This window comes from Homo sapiens, chromosome 5, assembly GCF_000001405.40.
Source record: "Homo sapiens chromosome 5, GRCh38.p14 Primary Assembly".
Classification (NCBI taxonomy): domain Eukaryota; kingdom Metazoa; phylum Chordata; class Mammalia; order Primates; family Hominidae; genus Homo; species Homo sapiens.
The window spans coordinates 11,878,679-11,904,816 of NC_000005.10; the positions used below are offsets into that span (position 1 = coordinate 11,878,679).

Below are 26,138 nucleotides of genomic sequence, written 5' to 3' on the forward strand. Positions count from 1 at the left end.
TATTATTTGCTAAGAGTCCTTGCTGCTTCATGCACGTTAGCAGTCACTCACTGTGGAGACTCACTCTAGTCCAGCCTCAAACCTTCCCACACCATATTTCCTGAGACACCAACAAAGAAAAAGCATCCAAAGAGAGAAGGAAGCATGTGGACATTGGGGCACCATCATTTGCAAGGTGGGGAAGGGAGATGGGGCCTCATGGGAGTTTCGCTGCTAGCCTGGATGTCTCAAATTAATAACATTTTTCATTTCTGTGTCTGCAATTGCACTGGAAGCTTTTACAGGGTTCTTCAAGGCCTCCTCGCTCTTTGATTGCCTCTGCCAGCTCCAGCCGCCCCACATGGCAGAGCTGCCTGCAGTGCAGCCTGTGGTTACCATGGAGACAGTACCCCACGGAAGAGAAAGGGTGAGGCAGATGCCAAGTGGCACCGCAGAACATGATTGCAGCACCACGGAGCCCCAAGTACTCGGGACAGATGTGTCTATGAAAGGAGAGGAAGGTGGAGGGATGACAGAGCAGCAGAGCTGTGGGGCAGACAGGCTACGGGAGACAGAGGGAGATACAGTTAAAATTGTCAAGTGTTTCTGGATATGATTCACTGTTTCTACCAAAATGAAATATAAAAATCAGAATTTCAAGTGTATTAAAAAATTAAATGTGTGTATATATATATATATACATATACACACACACACAAACATATACATACATACACATATGCCTGTGCATGGGCATATACAAAATACAAGAAAAGTTTGATTTGCCTTTTCTTAACATCTGGGAACAGCATTTATAGAAAGGTTAGTTTCCATGGAAATCTCAAAAACCAGCAAGATGGCTCTGGAGCATGCTACCATTTTATTTGAGCACATTATTGTAATAATATTTCCAATCACAATTCACATCCTATTCTGTACCATTGATAAGCTTTTGACATTCTTTTTCTCTTATACAAAAATCTCGTTTCTATTTTATGTACAAGAATTATGAAACAAGACTTTTTTACTAATAAAAACTATAGGTTCGCAAAGAGTAGCTCTCAAAATGAAAGTATATATATGCTATCCAATTCTCAAAGTACACAAATTCTCAAAAGTACACAAAATGCTTTTTCTATGATGTGGGTAGGGCTGTTCTCCAGTATTTCATTTCTTCATCCTCTGGGCATATGGAAGGACTGGACTTCCCTCTCCCTTCAGAGCTGGGCATGGTCACATGGCCCACTCGGCCTGACGAAATAGGGACATACGACTCAATTTTCCAGGTTATTTCCCTATCTCCATGGCTATGGAAGATTGTGCTGAGATGGAGGATCCACTGTCCTGGGTTCTGGAGTCACCACAACTGTCAAACTCTCCATTCAACTCTTGCCAATCCATGCCAAAAATGTACCAACTTTTACTCTTGTGGGCTGCTGAAACCGGGAATTATTTGTTAAAGCAACCTAACTTAATTCATCCTGATACACAACCCCCCTTATTCAATTATAAAATATTTTCATGAAGACATTATGCTCATGTGTAAGAGGGGCCCAGAAATTTATAACATATTCTCTTTTCAGGGTCTGCCAAGTTAGGAAATGATTACTATAAAAGGTAATATGTGAAATATTCCATAATAAACGGAAAACAAAAGTTCTGTAAGAGTTCACTTTGGGCAGAGGTTAAGACTAGAATGATTAACACAACAAAGTGCATTTAAGATGGTAATTTTAAAGAGTTAATAAGTCAAGAAGAAGGCCTTCTATCACAAGTCAGGTGTGGGGGTCTATGACATGGAATAAAGGCTCAACTACTACTACAACCACTACTACTGCTACTAGTACTACTACTACTACCACTACTACTACTACCACCACCACTACTACTACCACTACTACTGCTACTAGTACTACTACTACTACCACTACTCCTACTATCAGCACTACTACTACCACTACTACTGCTACTAGTACTACTACTACTACCACTACTACTATCACCACTACTACTACTCTACCACTACTACTGCTACTAGTACTACCACTACTACCACTACTACTACCACCACTACTACTACCACTACTACTGCTACTAGTACTACTACTACTACCACTACTACTATCACCACTACTACTACTCTACCACTACTACTGCTACTAGTACTACCACTACTACCACTACTACTACCACCACTACTACTACCACTACTACTGCTACTAGTACTACTACTACTACCATTACTACTACTACCACCACTACTACTACCACTACTACTGCTACTAATACTACTACTACTACCACTACTACTACTACCACTACCACTACTACTGCTACTAGTACTACTACCACCACTACTACTACCACTACTACTGCTACTAGTACTACTACTACTACCACTACTACTACTACTATTATCATTATTATTAAAGGGAATGAATTGTAGATGCCCTTGTGCCCAAGAAACTCTGCATGGATAAATTAACTTGATTTTTTCATTTAATTTTTAATTGCCACCTAAGAATTATACATATTTATGGCATACACGTGCTATTTCAATACATGTATACAATGTGTAGTGATCAAATTAGAGTAACTGGCATGTCCATCACTTCAAACATTTATTACTTCTTTGTGTTGTGAACATTCAAAATCCTCTCATCTAGCTATTATTGCTAACTATAGTCACCCTACTGTGTTACAGAACACTAGAACTTATCCCTCATAGCTAAATGTAATGTTGTACTCATTAACCAACTTCTCAGTATCCCTCCCTCCCCACTATCCTTCTCATCCTCTGGTAACCACTATTCTACTCTCTACTTCCATGAGATGAAATTTTTTAGCTCCCACATATGAGTAAGAACATGCGGTGTTTGTATTTCTATGCCTGGCTTATTTCATTTAACATAATGTCCTCTAGGCTTTTCCACCTTGCTGCAAAACACAAGATTTCATTCTTTTTTTATTTATTCATTCATCCATCAATAGACATTTAGGCTGATATCATATATTGTTTATTGTGAATAGTGCTGCAATAAACATGAGAACATAGATACCTCTTGAACATACTGATTTCCTTTCCTTTGTATAGATACTCAAAAGATTGCTGGACCATATGGTATTTTTATCTGTAGTTTTTTGAAGAACTGCCCTACTTTCATAATGGCTGTACTAATTTACATTTCCACCGACAGTGTAAAAGAGTTTCATTGTCTCCACATTCTTGCCAGCATTTGTTATATTTTTTCTTTTTGATTATATCCATTTTAACTGGGTTGAAACGATAACTCATTGTGGTTTCAACTTGAATTTCCCTGATGATTAGAGCTGTAGATCATTTTTTCATGTACCTGTTAGATATCTCTATGTCTTTTTGATTATTTGCCCATTTTTACTTGGATTATTATTATTATCATTATAACTGCTGTTGAGATTCTTATATATTCTGGATATTTACTCCTTGCCAGATGGATAGTTTGCAAATATTTTCTTCCATTCTGTATACTGTCTCTTCACTCTATTGATTGTTTCCTTTACTATACAGAAGTTTCTTAGTTTAATATTGATATGATCCCATTTATGTATTTTTGCTTTTATTTCCTATGCTTTTGAAATCCTATCCAAAAAATCTTTGCCCAGACCAAAATCATACAGCATTTCACCAATGTTTTCTTTTAGTAGTTTCTTAGCTTCAGGTATTACAGTTAAGTCTTTAATCAGTTTTTGAGTTGATTCTTCTATATGCTGAGAGACAGGGTTCTAGTTTTATTCTTCTGCAGAATAAAGGATAATAAATAATAAGGGTCTAGTTTATACCGAAGAATCTCTCTCAACATATACAAATATATATATATAGTTTTCCCAGCAGCATTTATTAAAAAGCATGTATTAAAAAGATTGTCTTTTCCCCCACTGTGTGTATTCTTGGAACCTTTGTCAAAAATCGGTTAACCAGAAGTACATGGATTTATTTTGGTGTTCTGTTTCATTGGCCTATGTGTCTGTTTTTATAACAGTACTATAGCTTACTACAGTACTGGTTACTATAGATTTATAGTATATTTTAGAGTCAGGTAGTGTGATGCCTCCAGCTCTGTTCTTCTTGCTCAGGATTGCTTTGGCTACTTAGAGTCTTTTGTGGTTCCATAAAAATGATATAATTGTTGTTTCTATTTCTGTGAAGAATGTTATTGGCATTTTCAGCATGATTGAATTGAATCTATAGATTTCTTTAGTAGTATGGACATATTAATTTTAACATATTAATTATTCCAATCCATGAACATGGGATATTTTTCTATTTTTGTGTCCTCTTCAGTTTCTTTCATCAATATTTTATAGTTTTAATTGCTGAACTATTTCACCTGCTTTGTCAAATGTATTCCTAAGATTGGGGGGTTTGGTAGCTATTGCAAATGGGATTACTTTCTTCATTTCTTTTTCTGACTGCTCACTGTTGGGCATATAAAAATGCTACGATTTTTTTATTGGTCATTTTGTATCTTGAAACTTTACTGCATTTATCACTTATTTTATTATACTTCAAGTTCTGGGATACATGTGCAGAATGTGCAGGTTAGTTACATAGGTATACACGTGACATGGTGGTTTGCTGCACTCATCAACCTGTCACCTACATTAGGTATTTCTCCTAATGCTATCCCTCCCCTACCGCCCCACACCCTGACAGGCCTCAGCATGTAATGTTCCTCTCCTTGTGTCCACGTGTTCTCCTTATTCAGCTCTCACCTATGAATGAGAACATGTGGTGTTTGGTTTTCTGTTTCTGTGTCAGTTTGCTGAGAATGATGGTTTCCAGTTTCATCCATGTCCCTGCAAAGGACATGAACTCATCTTTTTTATGGCTGCATAGTATTCCACGGTGTATATGTGCCATATTTTATTTATCCAGTCTATCACTGATGGGCATTTGGGTTGGTTCCAAGTCTTTGCTGTTGCAAACAGTGCTGCAATAAACATACGTGTGCAAGTGTCTTTATAGTAGAATGATTTACAATCCTTCGGTTATATACCCAGTAATGGGATTGCTGGATCAAATGGTATTTCTGGTTCTAGATCCTTGAGGAATCGCCACACTGTCTTCCACAATGGTTGAACTAATTTACACTCCCAACAACAGTGTAAAAGCATTCCTATTTCTCCACATCCTCTCCAGCATCTGTTGTTTCCTGACTTTTTAATGATCGCCATGCTAACTGGCATGAGATGGTATCTCATTGTGGTTTTGATTTGCTTTTATCTAATGAACAGTGATGTTGAGCTTTTTTCATATGTTTGTTGGCCACATAAATGTCTTCTTTTGAGAAGTGTCTGTTCATATCCTTCACACACTTTTTGATGGGGTTGTTTTTTTCTTGTACATTTGTTTAAGTTCCCTGTAGATTCTGGATATTAGCCCTTTGTCAGATGGGTAGATTGCAAAAATTTTCTCCCATTCTGTAGGATGCCTGTTCACTCTGATGATCGTTTCTTTTGTTGTACAGAAGCTCTTTAGTTTAATTAGATCCCATTTGTCAATTTTGGCTTTTGTTGGCATTGCTTTTGGTGTTTTAGTCATGAAGTCTTTGCCCATGCCTATCTCCTCAATGGTATTGCCTAGGTTTTCTTCTAGGGTTTTTATGGTTTTAGGTCCTACGTTTCAGTCTTTAATCCATCTTGAGTTAATTTTTGTATGAGGTACAAGGAAGGGGTCCAGTTTCAGTTTCCTACATATGGCTGGCCAGTTTTCCCAACACCATTTATTAAATAGGGAATCCTTTCCCCTTTGCTTGTTTTTGTCAGGTTTGTCGAAGATCAGATGGTTGTAGATTTGTGGCGTTATTTCTGAGGCCACTGTTCTGTTCCATTGCTCTATATATCTGTTTTGGTACCTTTTTGGTGGTGTCTTTAAATTTTTCTAAATGTAAGATCATGTCATCTGCCAACAGTGGATAATACGACTTCCTCCTTTCCAATTTGGATGCACTTTATTTTTTTCTCTTGTCTATTCACTCTGGGTAGAAGTATCAGTACTATCTTGAAAAAAAGTAGAAAAAGTGGGTATCCTTCTCTTACTCCAGATATTAAATAAAGCCTTTTAACTTTAACCCATTCACTATGATGTTAGCTGTGGGTTTGTCACATACTGCCTTTATTGTTTTGAGGCACGTTCCTTCTATAACTAATTTGTTGAAAGTTTTTTATCATGAAGTATGTTGAGTTTTATCAAAATGTTTTTCTTCATCTATTGAGATAATCATATAGTGTTTTGTCCATTCCGTTGATGTGATGTACCATAATTAATGATTTGCATATGTTAACCCATCTTTGCATTTTGGGATAAATCTCACTTGATCATGGCGTATAAAAGCACTTTTGGATGTGCTTCTGAATTCAGTATGCTAGTATTCTGTTGAGGATTTTTACATCTATGTTCATCAGAGATAATGGCCTGTAGTTTTACTTTTTGTTGCTGTTTCCTTGTCTGGTTTTGGTATCCAAGTAATGCTGACTTCATAGAATGAGATTGGAAAAATTCCTTCCCCTTCAATTTTTTGGACTAGCTTAAAAAGAATTGATATTTGTTTTTTAAAAGTTTGAATTCAGCCATGAAGTCATCCAATCCTGAACTCTTCTGTTTTGGGAGACTTTCTATTACTGATTTAATCTCATTATTTGTTATTGGTCTGTTCACGTTTTCCATGCAAATAGAAACCACAAAAGAGCAGAAGTAGCTACATTTATATCAAAGAGAATACACTTTGAGTCAAAAACTATAAAAAAGAGACTAACAAGATCCTTATATAATGATCTTTGGGTCCATTCAGCAAGAGGATATAATAACTGTAAATATATATGCACTCAACACCAAAGTGCCCACTTATATAAAGCAAATATTAATAGATCTAAAAGGAGATATAGGCTGCAGTATAATTCAACAGTCTACTTTCAGCAACGGACAGACAGAAATTCAACAAACAAACACTGGAGTTAAACTACCCTCTGAACCAAACAGACCTAACTGACATTTATTGAACATTTCATCCAACAGCTTCAGAATACACATTTTTTTTCATCAGCACATGGAACATTCTTCAGAACAGACCGTATGTTAGGCCACAAAGCAGGTATCAACAAATTTTTAAAAATAAAATCATATCAAGTACATTTTCTGACCACAATGGAATAAAGCTAGAAATCAATAAAAGAGGAACTTTGAAAACTACAAATATCATGGAAATTAAGCAACACGGTTCTGAACAACCAACGGGTCGATACAGATTTTAAGAAGAAAATTTTAAAATTTATTGAAACAAATAAAAATGGAAACACAACACAACATACCAAAACCTATGGAATACAAAAAAGCAGTACAGAGAGGAAGTTTACAGCAATAAATGCCTACATCAAAAAAGTAGAAAGATTTCAAATAACCTAAAAATGCACCTCAAGGAACCAGAAAAGCAGGAATAAACCAACCCAAAATTAGTAGCAGAAAAAAATGTCGGAGCAGAAATAAATGAAACTGAGACAAAAATATAAAATATCAATGAAACAAAAAGTTGAGTTATTTTCAAAAGATAAATAAAATGACAAATATTTTGCTAGACTAAACAAGATAAAAAGAGAGAAGAACCAAATAGTACTTTGTTTATCTGGTTATTTAATAACCAAATAAAACCAGAAATGAAAAAGGAGACATTACAACTGATACCACAGAAATACAAAGGGTCATTCAAGACTACTATGAATAACTGTATGCCAAAAAAATTGGAAAACGTAAAAGAAATAAATTCCTAGATGCATTTAATCTACCAAGATTGAACCATGAAGAAATCAAGTTCAATTTGGTTTTCTGAAAAACAACAAATAATTGTTTAGTATAAGTGTGTCCCATGCAATATTTGGAACATACTTAGACTGAAAAAAAAAGTATGGTTTATATAAAATTCAAAGTAAAGTAGGCATCTTGTATTTACATTTGCTAAATCTAGCAACCCTAACTATGTGTACTTTCTAAGAATTACACGGGTTGTGTAAAAGGGCTGGTGAGGGGGCATTAAAAGTTTATCTTCAGATTATCAGTAAGATGATTCATAAAATAAAGAGTAATTACACATTTTTGGCCTTGTAAATGGAAAGAAGATAGCATTCCCACTCATTTGTTAAAATAATTTCCAAACATGATGAAAATGCTCTTTGCTTCTATAAAAAGCCATTCTCTAAACAAAATACCTGAGCAATTTTACAAATTTCAAGTTATGTTTCTTTTGATTCCAAGCCACTATCAAATAAGATGTTTTCTATCCTACTGCTTTTTTTTTTTTTTTTTTTTTTTTTTGAGACAGAGTCTCGCTCTGTCACCCAGGCTGGAGTGCGGTGGCGCGATCTCGGCTCACTGCAAGCTCTGCCTCCCGGGTTCACTCCATTCTTCTGCCTCAGCCTCCCCGGCAGCTGGGACTACAGGCGCATACCGCCACGCCCAGCTAATTTTTTGTATTTTTAGAAGAGATGGGGTTTAACCATGTTAGCCAGAATGGTCTTGATCTTCTGACCTTGTGATCCGCCCGCCTCAGCCTCCCAAAGTGCTGGGATTACAGGCAGGAGCCACCACATCCGGCCTATTCTACTGCTTTTTAAAAATAATTTTGAGTACTTATTCTCCTTCCCCTCACCTTTGCCAAAAATCCATGACATAACTGATAAAAATATTTTAGGCTGATTTGCTATTTAATTAGAAATCAATTTGAATAATAATTCTAAAATATTAGGACATAGTCTAACCCCACTAAAATCAAACAAAAACATCGTTCCCTTTACAGAGATCTTTAAAAACTTTGAGCAAGCAAAAAAAAAAACTTCTAGTGTTAAAAATTAGGTTGTAAAAAATAAATAAATTTTATCTTTTAGGACCTAATTTCTCCTATTATAAGCATCTTAGATTAGTATGGCACATTTGTTATAATTAATGACCAGTATTGATACATTATTATTAACTAAAGTTCATACTTAATTCAGATTTATGTAATTTTCCCTAAAGTTCTTTTACTATTCCAGGGCCCCATCCAAAATGCCACACCACATTTAGTCCTCATGTCTCCTTGGACTCCTCTTGGTTCTTAGTTTCTCAGACTTTCCTTGTTTTTGATGCCTTTGACAGTTCTGAGGCATACTGGTCAGGCATTCTGCAGAATAAATGTCTTCCACATGATTAGACTGAGGTTATGGGCTTTGGGGAAGAAGCCACAAAAGTAAAGTACTATTTTCAACACATTGTATCAAGCTATATATAAAGTAGATTTTTTTAATTGACACTTTTTATGAATTGCTTACTCATATCCTTGGATGCTAAATTATATTTTAATGCTTTCAACCTGGTATTACCAGCATATTCAATCTGAAGTAAACATTTGGACAAGACTTGAGGGCTTCAATTTTATAAATGAATGGCATTCTTAAATTAATTCTAACCTCATTTAGAATAATCATATGACATTTCAAAGTGCAAAAACAAAATGTTGTTGAAACTTAGAAAATGGAATATTGTAAACATTAGAACATTACATCTGTCCTTTAATTAAGCCTAGTGTAGCTTAAAGGCCAAAGTTACAACCTTACGACTAGGCTAAAAGACCCAGGAAAGGTAGAATGGTTGACGAAGATAAGAGTATTTCCCTGTGGCAGAGAGTGACTGCGTGCACCCCATTCCCCAGGGCCAACGTACTAGCCTGTGGGCTCAGGGACTTAAGCTAATTCTTTCCAGCCTTGCCAACCTTAATCCAATCAATGGTTTCCCCCATGACCTAAGAGTTGGCACATCTCCCTTAGTATTTGAAAACACAAGAGAATTCCAATCTCTTATTTGTCAAGCCACCAAATGAAGAATTTCAGGGGGAAGAAAGGAATACATGTTATTTTTCACTTATTAATCAGCTCCTCCATTGAGGAGAGTGAAAATAATTAGAATAGTTATTTTTATAGATCAAACATGGTTACCTGTTAGAAATTTCACATGATCCTCCTACCTACTACTTGCAACACAGCAATGTCGGCCTGGTTGTGTATTTTTCAAGTTCTCAGAATGACTCTTTTTTTTTTTTTTTTTAGATGGAATCTCACTCTGTCACCCAGGCTGGAGTGAGGTGGCACAATCTCAGCTCACTGCAACCTCCGCCTCCCAGTCCCAGTTCAAGCAATTCTCCTGCCTCAATCTCCTGAGTAACTGGGATTACAGGCACGTACCACCATGCCCAGCTAATTTTTCTATTTTTAGTAGAGACAGGGTTTCACCATGTTGGCCAGGCTGGTCCTGAACTCCTGATCTCATGATCTGTCCACCTCAGCTTCTCAAAGTGCTGTGATTATAGATGTGAGTCACCACGCCCAGCCCCTAGAATGACTCTTAAATAGAAACCTTTTCACGGCATGTACCAACCTTGGTAAATAATCAGATGAAGGCCCCTTTTCCTTCTTTCTGTAAGACTCAAAGCCAAAAGCTGGAGTAACTAGACAGCATGCAGAATGTCAACCATGCAGCTGAAGATAGGGAGAAGGGGCCAGAATGCCACCTTCCACTGAGCTCTGAGATTATCTACACCCAGACACACCACAGGTAACACATTTTCAGTTACAAACCTTCAAATGTCTCTCTAAGACTAAACTGAGTTAATGATTTTAAGATACAATTTAGAGCAGATTCAAACACTAAAGATGCACAACTATGTAGCCAATTCAATGCTCCAAGAGAGAAACAACTCATTCTAAATTAGTGTTTGAGTGGGTAGCCACAATTAAACACCAAAGGGCAACTACCTTAAAATACTCGTTAGGCCAAAGGAACCTCCCCAGTCTAATGACACATTTGATAACTTCAAGCATTTCTGTGTGCAGGTTTATATTTCAAAGACATAATTCACTAAAGGCACAGCTAATTTAAATAAGCAGGGGATTTCATGATAGTGGAGTCCAAACAGGAAATATTAAAGTTTATAAAAGCAATACTTCATTTTATATTAATATAAATTCTCAGATACAGACATTTCTTATATGAGATGAAATAAAAGTAAACACAGAATTACTAAAATATCACTCTTGAAGTCACAAGAATTCACTTCTAACATTTTATTACATTGCAACTTTTAAAACTCCATATCCCAAACACATTAAACTTTCTTCTTTATAAAGGACATCACAATGTTTTCAACCTTTATCACTCAAGGTCTTATGCCAAAATTAGCATCTGAATATTTTATAGTCTTTTAAAATATTCTACTTTTCTTTTAGTTGACAATATTCCAAGTCATAGACAGTACCTTCAATTTAAAGATAATGAAAAATATAAATTCACTTTGAGAAAATAAATCTACTTTCATAATTATATATGTTGTGTACTTCCAATTTTGCCATTATTCATCTATACTTTCTCATTATAATATCTTGAAAAAGTAGCCTGAAAATTCCCATCAGAATCAACTTTTTCCTGCAGTTCACAGTCCACTACTTTTTCTGAGATGCTGATTACTGGTCCCTGAAAACTTAAACTTGGTACAGTTCTATTTCTTGGTTCTATATTGGTTCATATTAAATCATGAACCAAAAGTATAGTCTCATATATTTAACATATCCTCCTGCCACAAAAACCTGTCACAGCTGTATTTATCATGAGATAACCTGCCTTTGAAAGACAACCTGCTCTCTCTGAGGATGCCAGGACATCCATGGCAGCTGACCAGAGAGGCAAAAAGCACTATATTACACCTGTACATGGAAAGGCAGGCAGCTCTTACAAACTCATCTTCATATTGATCTCTCACATCCCTTCAGATAGACTATCCGTCTTCTGTCTTGTCTTCTCATTTCAACATCTATCTATGATATGACTTGATGAATTAAAATTTTATCCTTCATAAGGCAGCTACTTAGATGCCAGGTATGCATTAATGCTTGTCAGTTCCTATGTGTACTATATCAGTAAATGATCAATTTTAAAGTCATTTTAATGATCAACCTTCGAGGAGGTTGCAGTCTAATGGAAGGAGACATGGAAACAAACCTGTAAACCAACAAATAAATGAGATGATTTCTATCACTCATATGTTATGAAAAAGATAAAACAGGGTAACTGTTAGGACAGAAACACTTGCTTTCGCAGGATGATCAGCAGAGACAGGCGGCCAAAGTGGCTAGAGCCTAATAAACCCAGGGACAGAGAGGGGAGATAAGATAAAATAGAAAGAAACTGGACCTTTTGCTGGTTGTCACCACTAGGGTTATAAGCTAAGGCAAGATGTGGGTGAACTAGAAGGAGCCCTAGGACGGCTGTAGGAATGATGAGCTCACAGTGGGTTGGCCAGCCAGGAGCCTGCTGCAGAAACCCTGGTGAGCAATGAGACAGCTGGATCAGCCTCTTAACACTGAAGGTGACAAGAAGTGGGAGGTTCAACCAAGATGAAAAGCATCCATGCAATTTTGAAAAATACACTTAAAAAGGAACTCTGGAATGCCATATGTTAATAAATACAGACATGTGGGTCTAGGTACTCTATATACCATATTGTTCTATGTATCACATTCTGAATTTTATAAATCAAAGCAAAACATTTAAACTGAGCTGAATAATCACTTATTAATAAAATAGCTCAAAGAGCTTCATATTATCCATCAGGAATTATCATTCATTTAGGGAGTAATTCAATACCAAAGTTCCAAAATCTGCCACCAGAGATTGGCCTTCCTTGACACTGGGTAACTTGCTGGTTTCATCCTGTGGTCTCTGTTATAGATTGAATGTTTGCGTCTTCTCCTCACCCACCAACAAAGTAATATGATGAAGTCCTAGCCCCCGATGTGATGGCATTTGGAAATGGGACCCCCGGAAGGTAATTAGTGTTAGATTAGGTGATGGGGATGGGGCCCTCAAGAAGGGATCAGCAGCTTTCTAAGAAGACAGATGAGAGATCTACAAAAGGCCATGTGAGGAAAGAGCAGGAAGGCGGCCATCTGCAAGTCAGGAGGAGAGCCCTCACCTGGAATCAAATCTGCCAGCATCTTCATTTTAGACATTCCAGCCTCTAAAACTGTGAGAAATAAACGTTGTTTAAGCCACACAATTTAGGGCAGCCTGAGCCAACTATGACAGTCTTGGAAAAAATTTGGTGGAATCCTTCCAAAGCCAGGATGCACTATCACTTGACATTGGACAAGTTTTTCTGAACTTCTGAGATGACAGGGAATATAGTATGTTATTAAATTTGGAAATATTTATGCCCTTAGGAAATATTTATGCCCTTCAGTGTGGTACTCAATTATCCACTCAGTGCTACAGCACAGTCTGTGAATCTGTTGTCAAAACGTCCTACCATCTTCTCTTGGTGATTCATGAACAGCTTCACAAATTCTTCTGACATCATAATATTCTCTATAACATCACACATCTGCACATCACAAAACCTGACACCTTACATTGTGTCTATATTTTTAAGCCCAGAATGCACATGCAGCTTAGCTTGTCGATGATGGTGAACTTTTCCACATGCAGCTTAGCTTGTTGATGATGGTGAACTTTTCCACATGCCAATGATTTCATGCAAAGAGTACATATAGCACCAGTGCTGATACTGGGATGAATAGCCTACCTTATTTGTCTTCTCGATGCCTTCTAATCAATGTACGAACAGTCCTACATTTCTCCAAATGACCATAAATATCTATCTTCAAAGCTATGCTGACAGTAAACATGAAAGTAACAATGCTCTACTAATATGAAAACCATTCAGCAGACAAACTGAAATTACTTCTGTAGTAGAACTAACTATTTAACATAAGTCCTGGGTACACATATTGAAAATTAATAAGCTATAGCAAAGAAGAAATATTTTCCCTCATAATCCACAAAGCAATTTGCTCTAAAGAATAAAAAGAAAAAGGAAAGGCAATGGACAGTTGTGTAAGCATCAAAGATCTTGAGAGAAACTGCCAAAAAAAAGACAAAATCTCTTCGGAGTTAGACAGCACCTTCTTTGGGCCAGAGCTAAAAAAAAAAACCTCACATAGCCACCAAATCCCAGCCCACCACATCTCAATTAGCTAAAATGATAAATAACTGTAAGGAACAGCATGTATATTTAAAATCAGATGAATATCACCTAAGGATATTCCAAGAATCAGTGAACACGACGAAATCTACTACTGGTCCAAAAATCTGTTACATTGCTTTCAAAATTCTTATCCTCCCTTTCAAGAGATAAAATATGAGAAAGCACTTGTAAAGACTAACATGCTATAAAATTCTACGGAATAACTTTGCTTATATTTCCTCCCACACTCTGTTCAACTTAAGACAGCACTTTACCCAGCCCTGTCACCAGCTCTCCCACTTGCGGCTCTGCACCGCCTGCCATTCTGTAGGTCTAACTGCACTACTGTAAAATGCATGATTTATCAGGCCACAAGGAAGCCATATAAACTCATATTATTACTCTGTAAACATACAGTATTTATGTTTACTACTGAAAGATCTTAAATCCTAGTAGCAATTAATGCATTTTAAGAGAATCGGCACATGGAGAAAGGGAAGGATTTCAGAGATGTGATGGAATTAAGGCTGCACAGCCATCTCAGTTGGAAATCCATGTTTGAAAAGGATAGAAATAGCTACCCTTCAACTAGAAAAATAAATGACTAAACCATTCAGAGGGGGACAGATTATCTAGCGCTGGAGGTATATACATCCAGAGCTTGCTGCTAACTACTAGTTATAACTTCTTGCCTCATTTAAAATTAAATTTGTCCAGTTTGTTGAATGAATGCATAAATCAATAAACAGTGGACTCGCCCATTATAATAGTTCTGTTTCTAAAACTAGTTTAAGCTACCTTGCACCTTTCCACTTCTTGAAATTCCTGCATTTACCAGGTATTACCAAACTCCCAGCTCCTAGCTCATGAAAACATCCTCAGCTTCCACATCCATCGCCTATATTTGCAAAGGAAGAAGGATGCTTTCTGAACGTTAATTTCCTCCAGCCATCATCTTGGCTCTATCCTCTCACACTCCGCTTCTGTCCTAGGTCCACAGGCTAAGTACAAGCTAAGTACACCCCATGGATCCCCTCAACTGCTGCAACAGGAAATATGGTGTCACTATACAATTTATCACACAACCCATGCTAAACTGCTGAAAGAAGACTTTTGATTTATAAGATCATATCTGAAATTGCTATAGGCAGTCAGCAAAACGAAGATTAGCATCCCCTCTCAAGTACCTAAAACTTTGTAACTCACTAAGTAACATACTCATTGAGGAATGTTTAACTTGACTTCTTTACTTCCTTCAAAAGTTTTGGGAATCGAGAATAAATTAGATTTCTGTAACTTACACATGATTTCTTCCTATTGGCAGACTACAGTTAGAGCGATAAGAATTCTGTGCAATTTGTTCAAAGTATTTAAGGAAATATCTCAAAAAATGGAAGCCAACTATGGTTCACACTTCTAAAACTGTTCTGATAAAGCCTCACAGGTGCCAGACGCGGCAGCCCACCAAGAGAGAAAATAATATTCTGGAGACATTTCTACAGACTTCACTCTTGAAGGACAATAGGGCTTCATTCCACTCCCATCTTTAAGCAGCAAATATCTGCACCACAAGGAAAAAATACAAGAAACTTTTTGGGCCAATTTTGTATAACTTACAATATTTGAAGTGGTATGAAGAAACAACAAGAATTACTTCTACGGATGGATAAAGGAGAATTCTTCCTTTAGGCAATAGCCAATAGCATGAAATGTAGCAATATCTTTACAACCACTATGGAAGTGGGCATTTTATAAACACATTAGTAACAAAATTCAGAGATTTAGTTTTATAGGCAAGAAAATCTTTTGACTCTAACTCTTACCCCCCACCATTACTGTATTTTTGAAGTGCATCAAAAGTTCCAGAGAATATATTTTATACTTAAATGTTTATTATGATTAAGCTTCCCAAAGCATTTTCACCTAAATTATCACAGCACATTCAACAAAGCCCTGTGAGTTTTTATCCCAAGGAACAAATGACAAAATAGGCAAAGATGCAAAGTCACAAGAGAAGGCAAGTGCCAAGCACGATTTAGATCCCAGAACTTGGCATCCTAAGGCAGTGGTCCCTCCAGGGTGCTGCAGTGTCTGTACCCAAAACCAACCCAAAGCAAGCAAAGAAACCTTGGTTCAGAAACCATTTTTGCCCCAAATGATGAACTAAGTGTTTGTTACATGCCTACTACTATCCTATGATTTGTGGATCAATTATTTTAAAAGATAGATTACCAGTATGGGGTGGGGCTGGGGAGAAGCATGGTCCTATGTGACCAGAGAGAAGGAGTGTGTGCCTGAGAGCAGGGGGAGAAGGTAGAAAATCATGTGTTTGCCTAAAAACAGTGTCCTGGCTCTTCCCAACGAACTTGAACTTGAGAAATGAGACATCCCTGAAGAACACACAGTCAAGTGCCAGAACCACACACAAAGCACTGCACCTGTGAGCCCCGGACTGCCACAAACACCTTGCCTTTTCACACAGTGATCCTGGAGTCTGTGCAGGTGCGTTTATGCTTCATGTGGGAAAAGCAAACGCCAGAATTACAGAAAAGCATCTGGCATCTGTATTATTTCGCAGTAGAAACAGCTAATGTGTGTTGTAATAGTGAATATACCACATACTCTGCTATGTATTTTAAGTCCATGGTCTCTTAATTCACCGTCGCAACAACCTGAAGACACAGGAATTATTGTTTCCCCTGTGTTATGACACTTAGTAGTAAAATAACCGTTCACTTAGAAAATGATGAAGTTGGGATATGAACTCAGTCAGTTGGGGTACAACTTTGAAGCTATTTTCTCAACCATTTGCTCCACTGCTGTATTTACTACTGGGACACACGAAATCAGCAAGCAGTAAAATGTTTCCTTAAAGAAGAACTCCTGTAGGACAAGTGAGTAAGTTTAACTTCAAGCTTTAGAATTATGCTCCCAAAATAGGAACCAATAAAATGATATATAAACTGTTAAGACATGACAGAGTGACATAATTACTATAGACAAACAATATAAATCAATTTTAAAAAAGGAAAATAGATAAATTGAGAAATGTGTATAAGATATAAAAAGATAATTCACAAAAAAATTAGACGTAGACACCAACAAATTAGAAAATATTTAACCTCAGGAATATTAATAGAGAAGCAAATGAATTAGAGAAAAACACAATATTTCTCCTATGTAATTAGAAGTTTTATTTTTCTCATTACAACACCCAGTGTTGTTGAAATCATGGGAAAATTTGTACACTCCTGCCTTGCTGAGAGAAATATAAATTATATAATCTTCCTGGAAGACAAATGAACAACATATATCAACAACCTTGAAAACATCCAGTTCTAGGAAGTAATCTAGAGTAAATAACCTGATGACAACTATTTAGTTATTAGGATCTTAATTACAGCATTAAATATAACTACCAAAAATGAAAATGTCATCAATCTCCAATAACAGAGTGATGTAAGTAAATAATGTTATATAAAGGTATGGAAAACAGACACTAAAAATAAATACTAATTACATGAGATGTTAATAGGTAACTAAACAGAATATGAGCAATGTTTTCTAAATTTAAAAATGTGTATCGCTTGATATCTCTGCTAAAAATATGGTCATTTCTGGGGCTTGCAACCATGCATGAATTTTAACTTCTTTTAATCATTTCTGTATTTTTGAATTTTCAATGAGCATGCACTACTTTTGAAAACAAACAAATCTCAAATTTAAAGGCGAGAAAATGTAAGTATGGCTGATCAAAATCTGTGTAATCTACATTCCATGATGAATGACCTTTGTTAACTTTAAGTCATGCATTCAGCTAATTAATGAACTTCACCCCAAAATAAATATATACTATTCTTTTCAAGAATGGAAAGGCATGCTTTTCTTCTGCATAATGTAATATATATATTAAACTATGATATATTTAGTGGAAAAGTAATATATAAAGAACAAAACTCTTGAAACCCTGACATAAACACTGTGTTCTCAGTGTTCTCACATTTGGGAGTGGGTATGTGTGCTGGGTATCACATTCAATATAGTTATTTGCCTTGATTATCTTCTTAGCTTTAGTATTATGAATAGTTCTCATATAATTAGCTACTCTGAAACTATAATTCATAATTGCATATTTCTTTGGCTAGAGGTGCCATAATATATCTATGCACCTGCTATGAATTTAACATTACTCTTTTTCAACCTGAGTTAAGCAACACAAATAATCTGATCCAGATGCTACAAGCCCCAGCCTTCCTGCATCAACCTTCCATGTCCTGGGTTAATGAGACAATTTGTACTATCTCTGAGACTTTTTATATAACACCTGTCTGTCTTTCTGGAGGATTCTTCTTCCTTATTTGGTTTCCCCATGACCCCAAGAACAATGCTCCACACCAGTGAAGACTGTGTTAGAGATGAGAGATTGAACTGTGGCTCTTTTACATTTGGAGCTACCAAAGAGGTTGCTCTTTCTGGAAATTACATTATTGTATACTGTTGAAGGTAATGACTGCTATATTAGTCTAATATTTGAAAGTCCAAATAAAATATGTGACAGAGGATAAAATTTGTTTTAAAAAGTGAGCATTTTTAGATTGAGTAGTCATGCTTAGACTTAAATACAACATCGTATCTATTTAGAAAAGCAATGTTTATCTTCTTTCTTTACTGTGTCCATGATTTCTCCTATTAATTGCAAAACATCAAACAGCCACCAAAATCTAATTATTTATACTGAGGCAGAAAAAGCTGTGGAAAATAGCTAGCCTAGATCACTTATATATGGTTTGGGAAGTCAGATTTTAACATCATCTTTTTTATGTCTAATTCTCACCACTTACAAAGCGATCCAATTATTGGCAGTTAAAGAATAACATGAAAAATAGGGGAAGAACGCCAAGGGTAAGTTATTTTAAAGTTGGCTATACATAAATCTGCTGAATTTCATGGACCATAGTTGCTACAAATCAACCAGGGCATTAGACGCTACCTTGATAACTCTTGATGTAGTGTCAAAATACCATGAAATATTTAAAGAGCTCAACTACCAAGCAAAGTACTGTGAAAGCTACTATATCCAGAATTCTATCAACTAGAATTCTTCATAAACCATGCCAATGGGGAACACTTCTTCTCTATTCTGATATTTCCTTTCAGGCAAAGGGAACTTAATTAATGTAACACTGCTGGCCTCTCTCCAGCTTTTCACTTTCTCTGCCTCTGAAGAATAAAGAAGCAGCTTGCCTTGCTGCTTCTCTCTTCCTCTGGAGATCATCCTCCCTGCAGAGAGCAAGGCTTGGCTCTGCCAGCTCAGAAAAAGCTCTGTCCCTGTGGGGAGGGAGGAGGGAAAGAAGGCAGAGGACCTGGGATGTAATTCAACTGCCACACCAAGCTATGTCTAATCAAAACTGATATTTTTGCCCATGGCAGCCAATTATTTATCTTTTTCCCTTCCAATATCCCAACATGCTGAGATGGGGAGTGGGGAGGAGGAGAGCTTGATATTTATTTGATTCCTTAAAGACACCAACAACCCACATTCCTGCACATTTTGTAATTCTTAAAGTAACTATATACCTTTCTGTGGTTTATGTAATTGCATATTTAAATGCAAAGAGATAATACAATAAAGCATTTGTACATTATAAGGAGGTTTCTAAACCAAAAGAAAGAACTGCATAAAACATGCACAAAATGCAGTTTTCTTAAAATTTCTAATGACAGTTGTGATAATCACATCTGTTAAACCAAAAATGTTACTAATACACTTCTCTGGCCTTTACCTAGGCAAGAGAAGTGTATTTTCTAATATCAATGATCCAATTAATTGTTCCCCCATCATCTAGTGTTATAAAGTAAACATCCTATTTAGTAACATTTCTGTATCATTCAAAACTTGTAGAAATGTTACATATATTTATTTAACCAAATATAATTGGCTCACCTGCTTACTTTGATCCAAAAAAACAAAAAAACCCAGTAAGGCCTTTTATCATAACATGTATTTTGCTCTGGTAACTTATAATTGGCAGTTCCCACAACAACACATAAATTTGAATACAAATAACCACATTTATTGTAAAAATGTTTTTCTGACTGAAGATAAATTTGTCCCCCATTATACAGCTCACATTCTGAAACAAATTCCAAGATACATCGAATCGTAATTATCCTAAAAATTATGTTGCTGAAGATCACAGTTCTAAATGAAGCCCCTCTGGGTTTGATCATCCCAAGGAGCTGGACATCTTCCAACCTGGAAGAGCTGGGCACTTTTTTGTCTTCACTGAAGCTCTTAAGAGTGAAACAAAGCAAAAATGACCATCTATTTTCAAAGAGGTACCAATTCACACACTTTTTAGTTCTCTTCAAGGACTTGATTTTAATTGGGGAGGGGGTCTTCCCTTTATGTAATACATTTAGCTGTTTAAGGTTTCTTTTTTCTCTATCATAATGACATGATGATGAGATTCATGCTCGGTGGTTCTAAACAGAGCGGATGTGTAATATCTGACCTCACAGAGAGTGATGCTTATTAAACTGTCTATGATAGTCTTTGTACAACATTAATCTTTGTAGAAAATTTGATCTTAATCAGGTGACTAATATAACACTAATAAAGAATATCAAAGTTTTGTAATTTCTACTGGGTTAGAATCTTTTATAATAATGGTGTTGGGAGATATAATTTACTTCTCCTTTAGCTTAACTGCTATATACTTTAATATATAAAGGGCTGGTATGTTTCAGAATAGAAAGTTTAGCATATTTTATAAGCAAATCTGCATAATGAAGCAATATTACAATAGGGGTTGGGGTAGGGAAATTACAGCCATTTAATATCCTTTGTTAGAGAGGATGGTAACCTAGATAACCTATTTAATTAGATATGTATAAAACATTAGTACCTGTCTTAATATGTATATATTGATTTCTTGTGTTCACATAAATTTTGTAATTTACAAGCCACTTATCCATGCTCTTACTCACTTTATCCTCAAAGAAATCTTTTAAGATATTGTGTCTTATTCTACCCATTTTACAGCTGAAGAAACTGAGTTAACAACTGAGGATCACATAAATGGTGAGGGATACACAGCTAAGAAGAGACAGGGCTGGAATCCACCAAAAGCCAGTGCTCTCTCCACATCTCTGTACCCACCAGAAGCAGAATGCAAAACAGCATTACACTAGGGAAACTTATTTTTCCAATAATTGTCATTTCAGATCACAAACATATTTCTAGAGAAATAGTTGGGCTCTGACATATAACGTGTTTGTGTGTGTGTGTATGTGTAACTTTATTACAAAATATTGTAATATATAATATATAAGAACCCAATAAAATGTTTCAATATATGTAATTCATTTTGCACGTAATGTGCCAAGAGAGACAGGTGAATATTTATCTAAGATAGAAAGGTTCTAGGAAGCATTGTTTCACTTATTTAGTCATTATTTCCAATTTGTCAAAAACTAATTGATACAGGTACTTCAATATCCTGACATAGCTAAGACACTTCCTACAAATCAATTAACCATGATTCAGAGCTTGGAATTGCACTTAACTGCTATGTGATCAAAAGATAAACAACTGGAGGTGTCATAACTGCAGATTTTTGTTATGAGTCTTAATATTTAATGGACTAAAAAGCACAGTATGATAAAATATTTCTGTGAGTTCCCTGTGTTGGAGGTACTGTTTGTGACTATAACTGAGTTTATTAAACCCAACCAGGCAGTTTGTTAATCAGTAGGCTGGATTGGCAGACAATGTGATAGAAACTATTTATTGATGACATGTTTAATATTTTATATTAATATAAAAAGCTGTTGCTTTGGCATATAATCAGATAACTTGAAGCTAGCAACAAGTATCATGAACTGTTCCTACTCAAATTAACTTTTCACACACCAGAAGGCTATCAAAGTACTGTGGACAGGAGAACACCTTCAGAAGATGAATGAGGAAAACCATCATGGAAGCCAACAATGAATTTGGCTTGGCAGTGTATTTCCAACTTGCAAATCAGCCAGCAAAGAACCACACCTTCAGCTGAAGTACTGGACTTGAAAATGACTAGCAGTCCATGCTTAGTTTTTGTTCATTGTCTGAATTATGACATCCAAGTTTAAGTACTCCCAACTATGTTAAGTCTTTTAAAAATAAAAACTCTGTTAGGAAAAGTGAGACTAGCATCAAGGATTTCCCTCTAAGAAGTGAAAATAATGTTCGCACAGAGAAAAAACAAAAATGGGTGTTCCCATTTTCTGTGGCTAATCATAAAGAAGAAAACATTGGAAGTTCAAAATGTAACAGTTTCTATTTTAATTCAATTGGCTTGTTACAGCTGTATACACTGGTCCATACATAGTGTACTGACCCTATGGACAAATTACAATAAATTATTTCAAATGTAATGTTAATGTTTTCTTAAAGACAACCTGATGAAATTACTCTGAAAACCCCTTCGACAAGTCCACACAAATTCATACCACACAAGAAAGAAGTCTGATAAGGCAAAACAGAAAAGAGCAAGTTCTGTAACATTTTCTGCAAATACACTGCATATTCAACTAAATGCCAAAGTAATATTATATTTGAGATTATAACTTCATTTTTAATTTTAGAAACTATTATGAAAGCAATATTATCCTTAGAAATTATTTAACAAAACTATAAATTGCATTTGCAAACTAGTATTTGAATTTCATTTTTGTCTCTGATGAACAATTTCACTGGGAGAAAGAATTGGCTTATATTCTATTGTGAAAGATGTAAAGTGGATAGAAATACTGTAATTTGACAGTGTATGACTTTTATTACGAACAATGAAAACATTAGTGACATCTATAATGACTGGGTTATACAACTACACAAACGTACACCAAATTAAATAACTCCTTTCCGCAAGACTATGACAATTTTATTAGGGCAACAACCTCACGTACTTACCACAATTGCCATTCAATCAGATAATATCATTTTCAATCCACAATATAACATAAAACCCACATATACAGTATATGTAGTTTTTCACATGCCCATCGGCCGCTCTGGGTACACACACAGGCACAGAGCAGTATCAACTAGTCCTTTAAAAATCATGTTTAAGAATGAAACACTAGGCTCAAAAGGAAAAAAGAAAAGGAAACGAGACATGTATGCTACTTCATCTATTGCTTTTGAAAGAAATTTTATATTAAAACAATGCAGTGGGCATAACGGTGTGTTCAAAGTGCTCTCGGAAAGTTCCCTGAATGTGAATAAGGTGAAACTAAAGCAATATTGCTAAAGACTAATCACAGTATTCAATCAACTTGAGCCGTATAGACCTTGCCAGTCCTCCTGCAACACTGACTTGTGATTAGTGTAATCAAAGGCCTCCCAAATTTCAACACTTAACTCCGAATGTAATCGTCTTCCTTCAAGCCCTGAGCCCTTGGAACCCACAGATCAGTAATGATGCCACTTAACATTTTTCCCCAACAACAGTAGGAACATTCTCCGTATGGCAACCATATGCTAATAAAAGACATTTGAGGGCAGTTTAAAGCATCTAGTTCGTATTTGAGGATACTCGCCCCTATATATCACACGTCTCGTAGCAGAAATCCCCAAAATAATGACAGGTTCACCGCCATAACTTGATATGAGTCACAGCAAACACTTCTCCATGGGATTTTAGAAGTGGTGCAGCCCCGAAGCCTTGTCATTATGTAGGTGAATGACCAGCAGCAGAGACCAGCTGGACTGCCCTCGGTAGCTTCAGCCCCTGATGAAGTATGCACAATGAGATAACTCCTAGGGAGTTTCAGCACCTCCTTGTTTTCATGGAAGTCACTGCAGAAAATCCCAAGACTCTTAAATATTGGTCACATAGTTCTTAAAAGTGAAAATTTACACCTGTCAGGCCTAATACTATGCTGACAACATTCTCTGTTTTCTAAATCAACATATTTGCTTGAGCACAGTAAAAATACATCTTAATAACACCTGCCAGAGCTAAGGCGAATCAGATCAGCTCAAATGAGGCACACAAGAAAAGAAAAGAAAAAAAAACACCTTGGAAACACAACCTGCCCCTCTATCTCTCATCTCCCACACCCTTCATACCCCCACGGTTACAGCAAAATACAACTTTGGGCATTTTGGAAGTAACTGTTATTTGTGACACACACACACACACCCCAAAAATTCCCAAGTCTGTTTTCCTACCACAAACACCAGGGAGGCTGCATCACCTTTCTAGTGACTTAATTCTGAAAGCAGAGGCTCAACCTGCCGAGTGGCAATCGAAGAAAACACACTACACACCAGAATAAGATGAGGGTCGGGAAAAAAAGAAAAAAGCAGCTTCGCTTTCAGCCATTAATTACGGATCACCCCAATTTTGCATCGCTCATCTCCCATACACACGCACAGCCTTCCAAACCTGGCTTTCAGGCGGCGCTTTCTGGAGCCTGGCTGTCTATTGTCAGCACGCAGAAGCCCCCGAAACCTGTGAAGCCGGCTGCAAAGGCTTGCTGGGAAGCCGCTAAATATAGACCAAGGGGGCTCAGGGTCTGGCAAGCCGCGGGAGCCTGAAGACACGGCCATGGACGCATATGACTAAGTCTTTCCATTTTGTTCTAGCCAAACATCGTAATGACATTGAACATAAGGGCAAAAGACTGGAGGGAAGTCCTCCCCACCCCCACCCCGTCTCCTCCCGTATATTAGGGACGTCATGAATGCACCGAGTATGTTCTCAGGGTGGCGGGGAGCAGCATTGTCGGTGTTGCCCTAAATACGCTTCCTCCCGGGGAGATGGGTGGCAGGGAGGGGGAGCACGCAGGGCAGCCACTTGGTAACCGCTCCAAGAAAGGCACTAACCCCGGACCCCCTTCCAGGCACAGCGGCTTCCGAGGGGGACCTGGCGCGATCGCGGTCCTCCCCGAGGCAGGCAGAAACCCCGCAGCAGCCGCCGCCGCCGCCTGCCGGCCGGGAGCCCAGGACCACCCCCACCAGCGGCAAGAGGAGGAGGACGGCGCCGGGAGGAGGCTGCGCCCGGCCCCGGCCGCCCAGCCCCGCAACTCACCCAAAGGCGCGGCGCCCGGCGGCTTCCTCGCAAACATGCACCCTCCGCCGGCGACAGCTCCTCAGTCCGGGAAGAGGCGTGCGCGGCGCCGCCCGGCTTCAGGGCAAGGTCCTGACCTTGCCCAACTGCAGCATCTTCCGCTTTTGTTGTCTGAGCGCGGCCGCGGGACAAGGGATGCTGGCGGGCGGCAGGGGCGAGCGCCGCGGGCGAGAGGCGGCTCCCGACGCGAGTGCGCAGCGCCCGGCCCGGCGGCCCCTCCGAGCTCGGCGAGCGCAGCGCCCCCTGCCCGGCTCCGCGGGCTCCACGGGCTCCTGCGGGCTCCTCGGGGCTCCGGGCGCCGCCGCCAGCCGGCCGGGCTGAGAGAGCAGCCGCCGCGCCCGCAGCTCCGCTCAGCCGGCTGTCGCCGCGGGCGCGAGCCTGGGGCCGCCGCGGCGCCCGGCGCCGAGCGCTCCCGAGCTGCGCCCCGCGCGCGGCCCGCGCCACCTGTGCCGCCGCCGCCTCAGCCGCCGAGGGCGAGGCTCCTCCCGCGGCGCGCGGCAGCCTCAGCCTCCACCTAAACCTCGGCGGCCGGCCCGGGCGCCCGGCTAGTGAGGGAGCGTCCGCCCCGCCGCCGAAACCGGCCCCGGGTGCGGAGCATGCCCAGTGCCGCCGCGAGAGCGGCGCTTCGCCGCGCGCGTTCCACTTCTCCTGGTTTTCGCGGCAGCAGCGGCAGCCGCGGGAGAGAGGGGAGGAGGCCGCGGGTTGGGAGAGGGCCGAGCATCCTTGGGAACGCACGCCCTGGACCTGAGATGGGTGGATGCTCCGGAGCTAGGCGAAAGCTGGAAGGGACCCGGGAAGGGATGGAACCCCAGGTTACTCCGCTTCCCTAATTCACGTGCAAGGCGCTGACAGTTGACTCTGGTGGGGCAGATGTCAGCCTGCAACAAAGGACCAGGGTGCGAGGGGTCCTAGAGTGGCCAGGTGGGTTGGGGGAGGGAGGCTGGCGGAACGTGCTGGTGAG

General features: G+C 38.4%; 1 protein-coding gene across 6 annotated transcripts in view; it reads right to left on the bottom strand.

The window, feature by feature from the left end:
* Window positions 1-25,768, bottom strand: part of CTNND2 (catenin delta 2) — a 932,611-nt gene extending 906,843 nt beyond the window's left edge. For all 6 annotated transcript variants that reach the window (NR_109988.2, XM_017009074.2, XM_017009072.2 and 3 more), the window contains exon 1: window positions 25,139-25,768. Coding sequence is in view for 4 of the 6 variants with exons in the window: in XM_017009074.2 (XP_016864563.1) it covers window positions 25,139-25,175 (37 nt within the window). In the remaining 2 variants the exon portion in view is untranslated. The remainder of the gene's footprint in view (window positions 1-25,138) is intronic.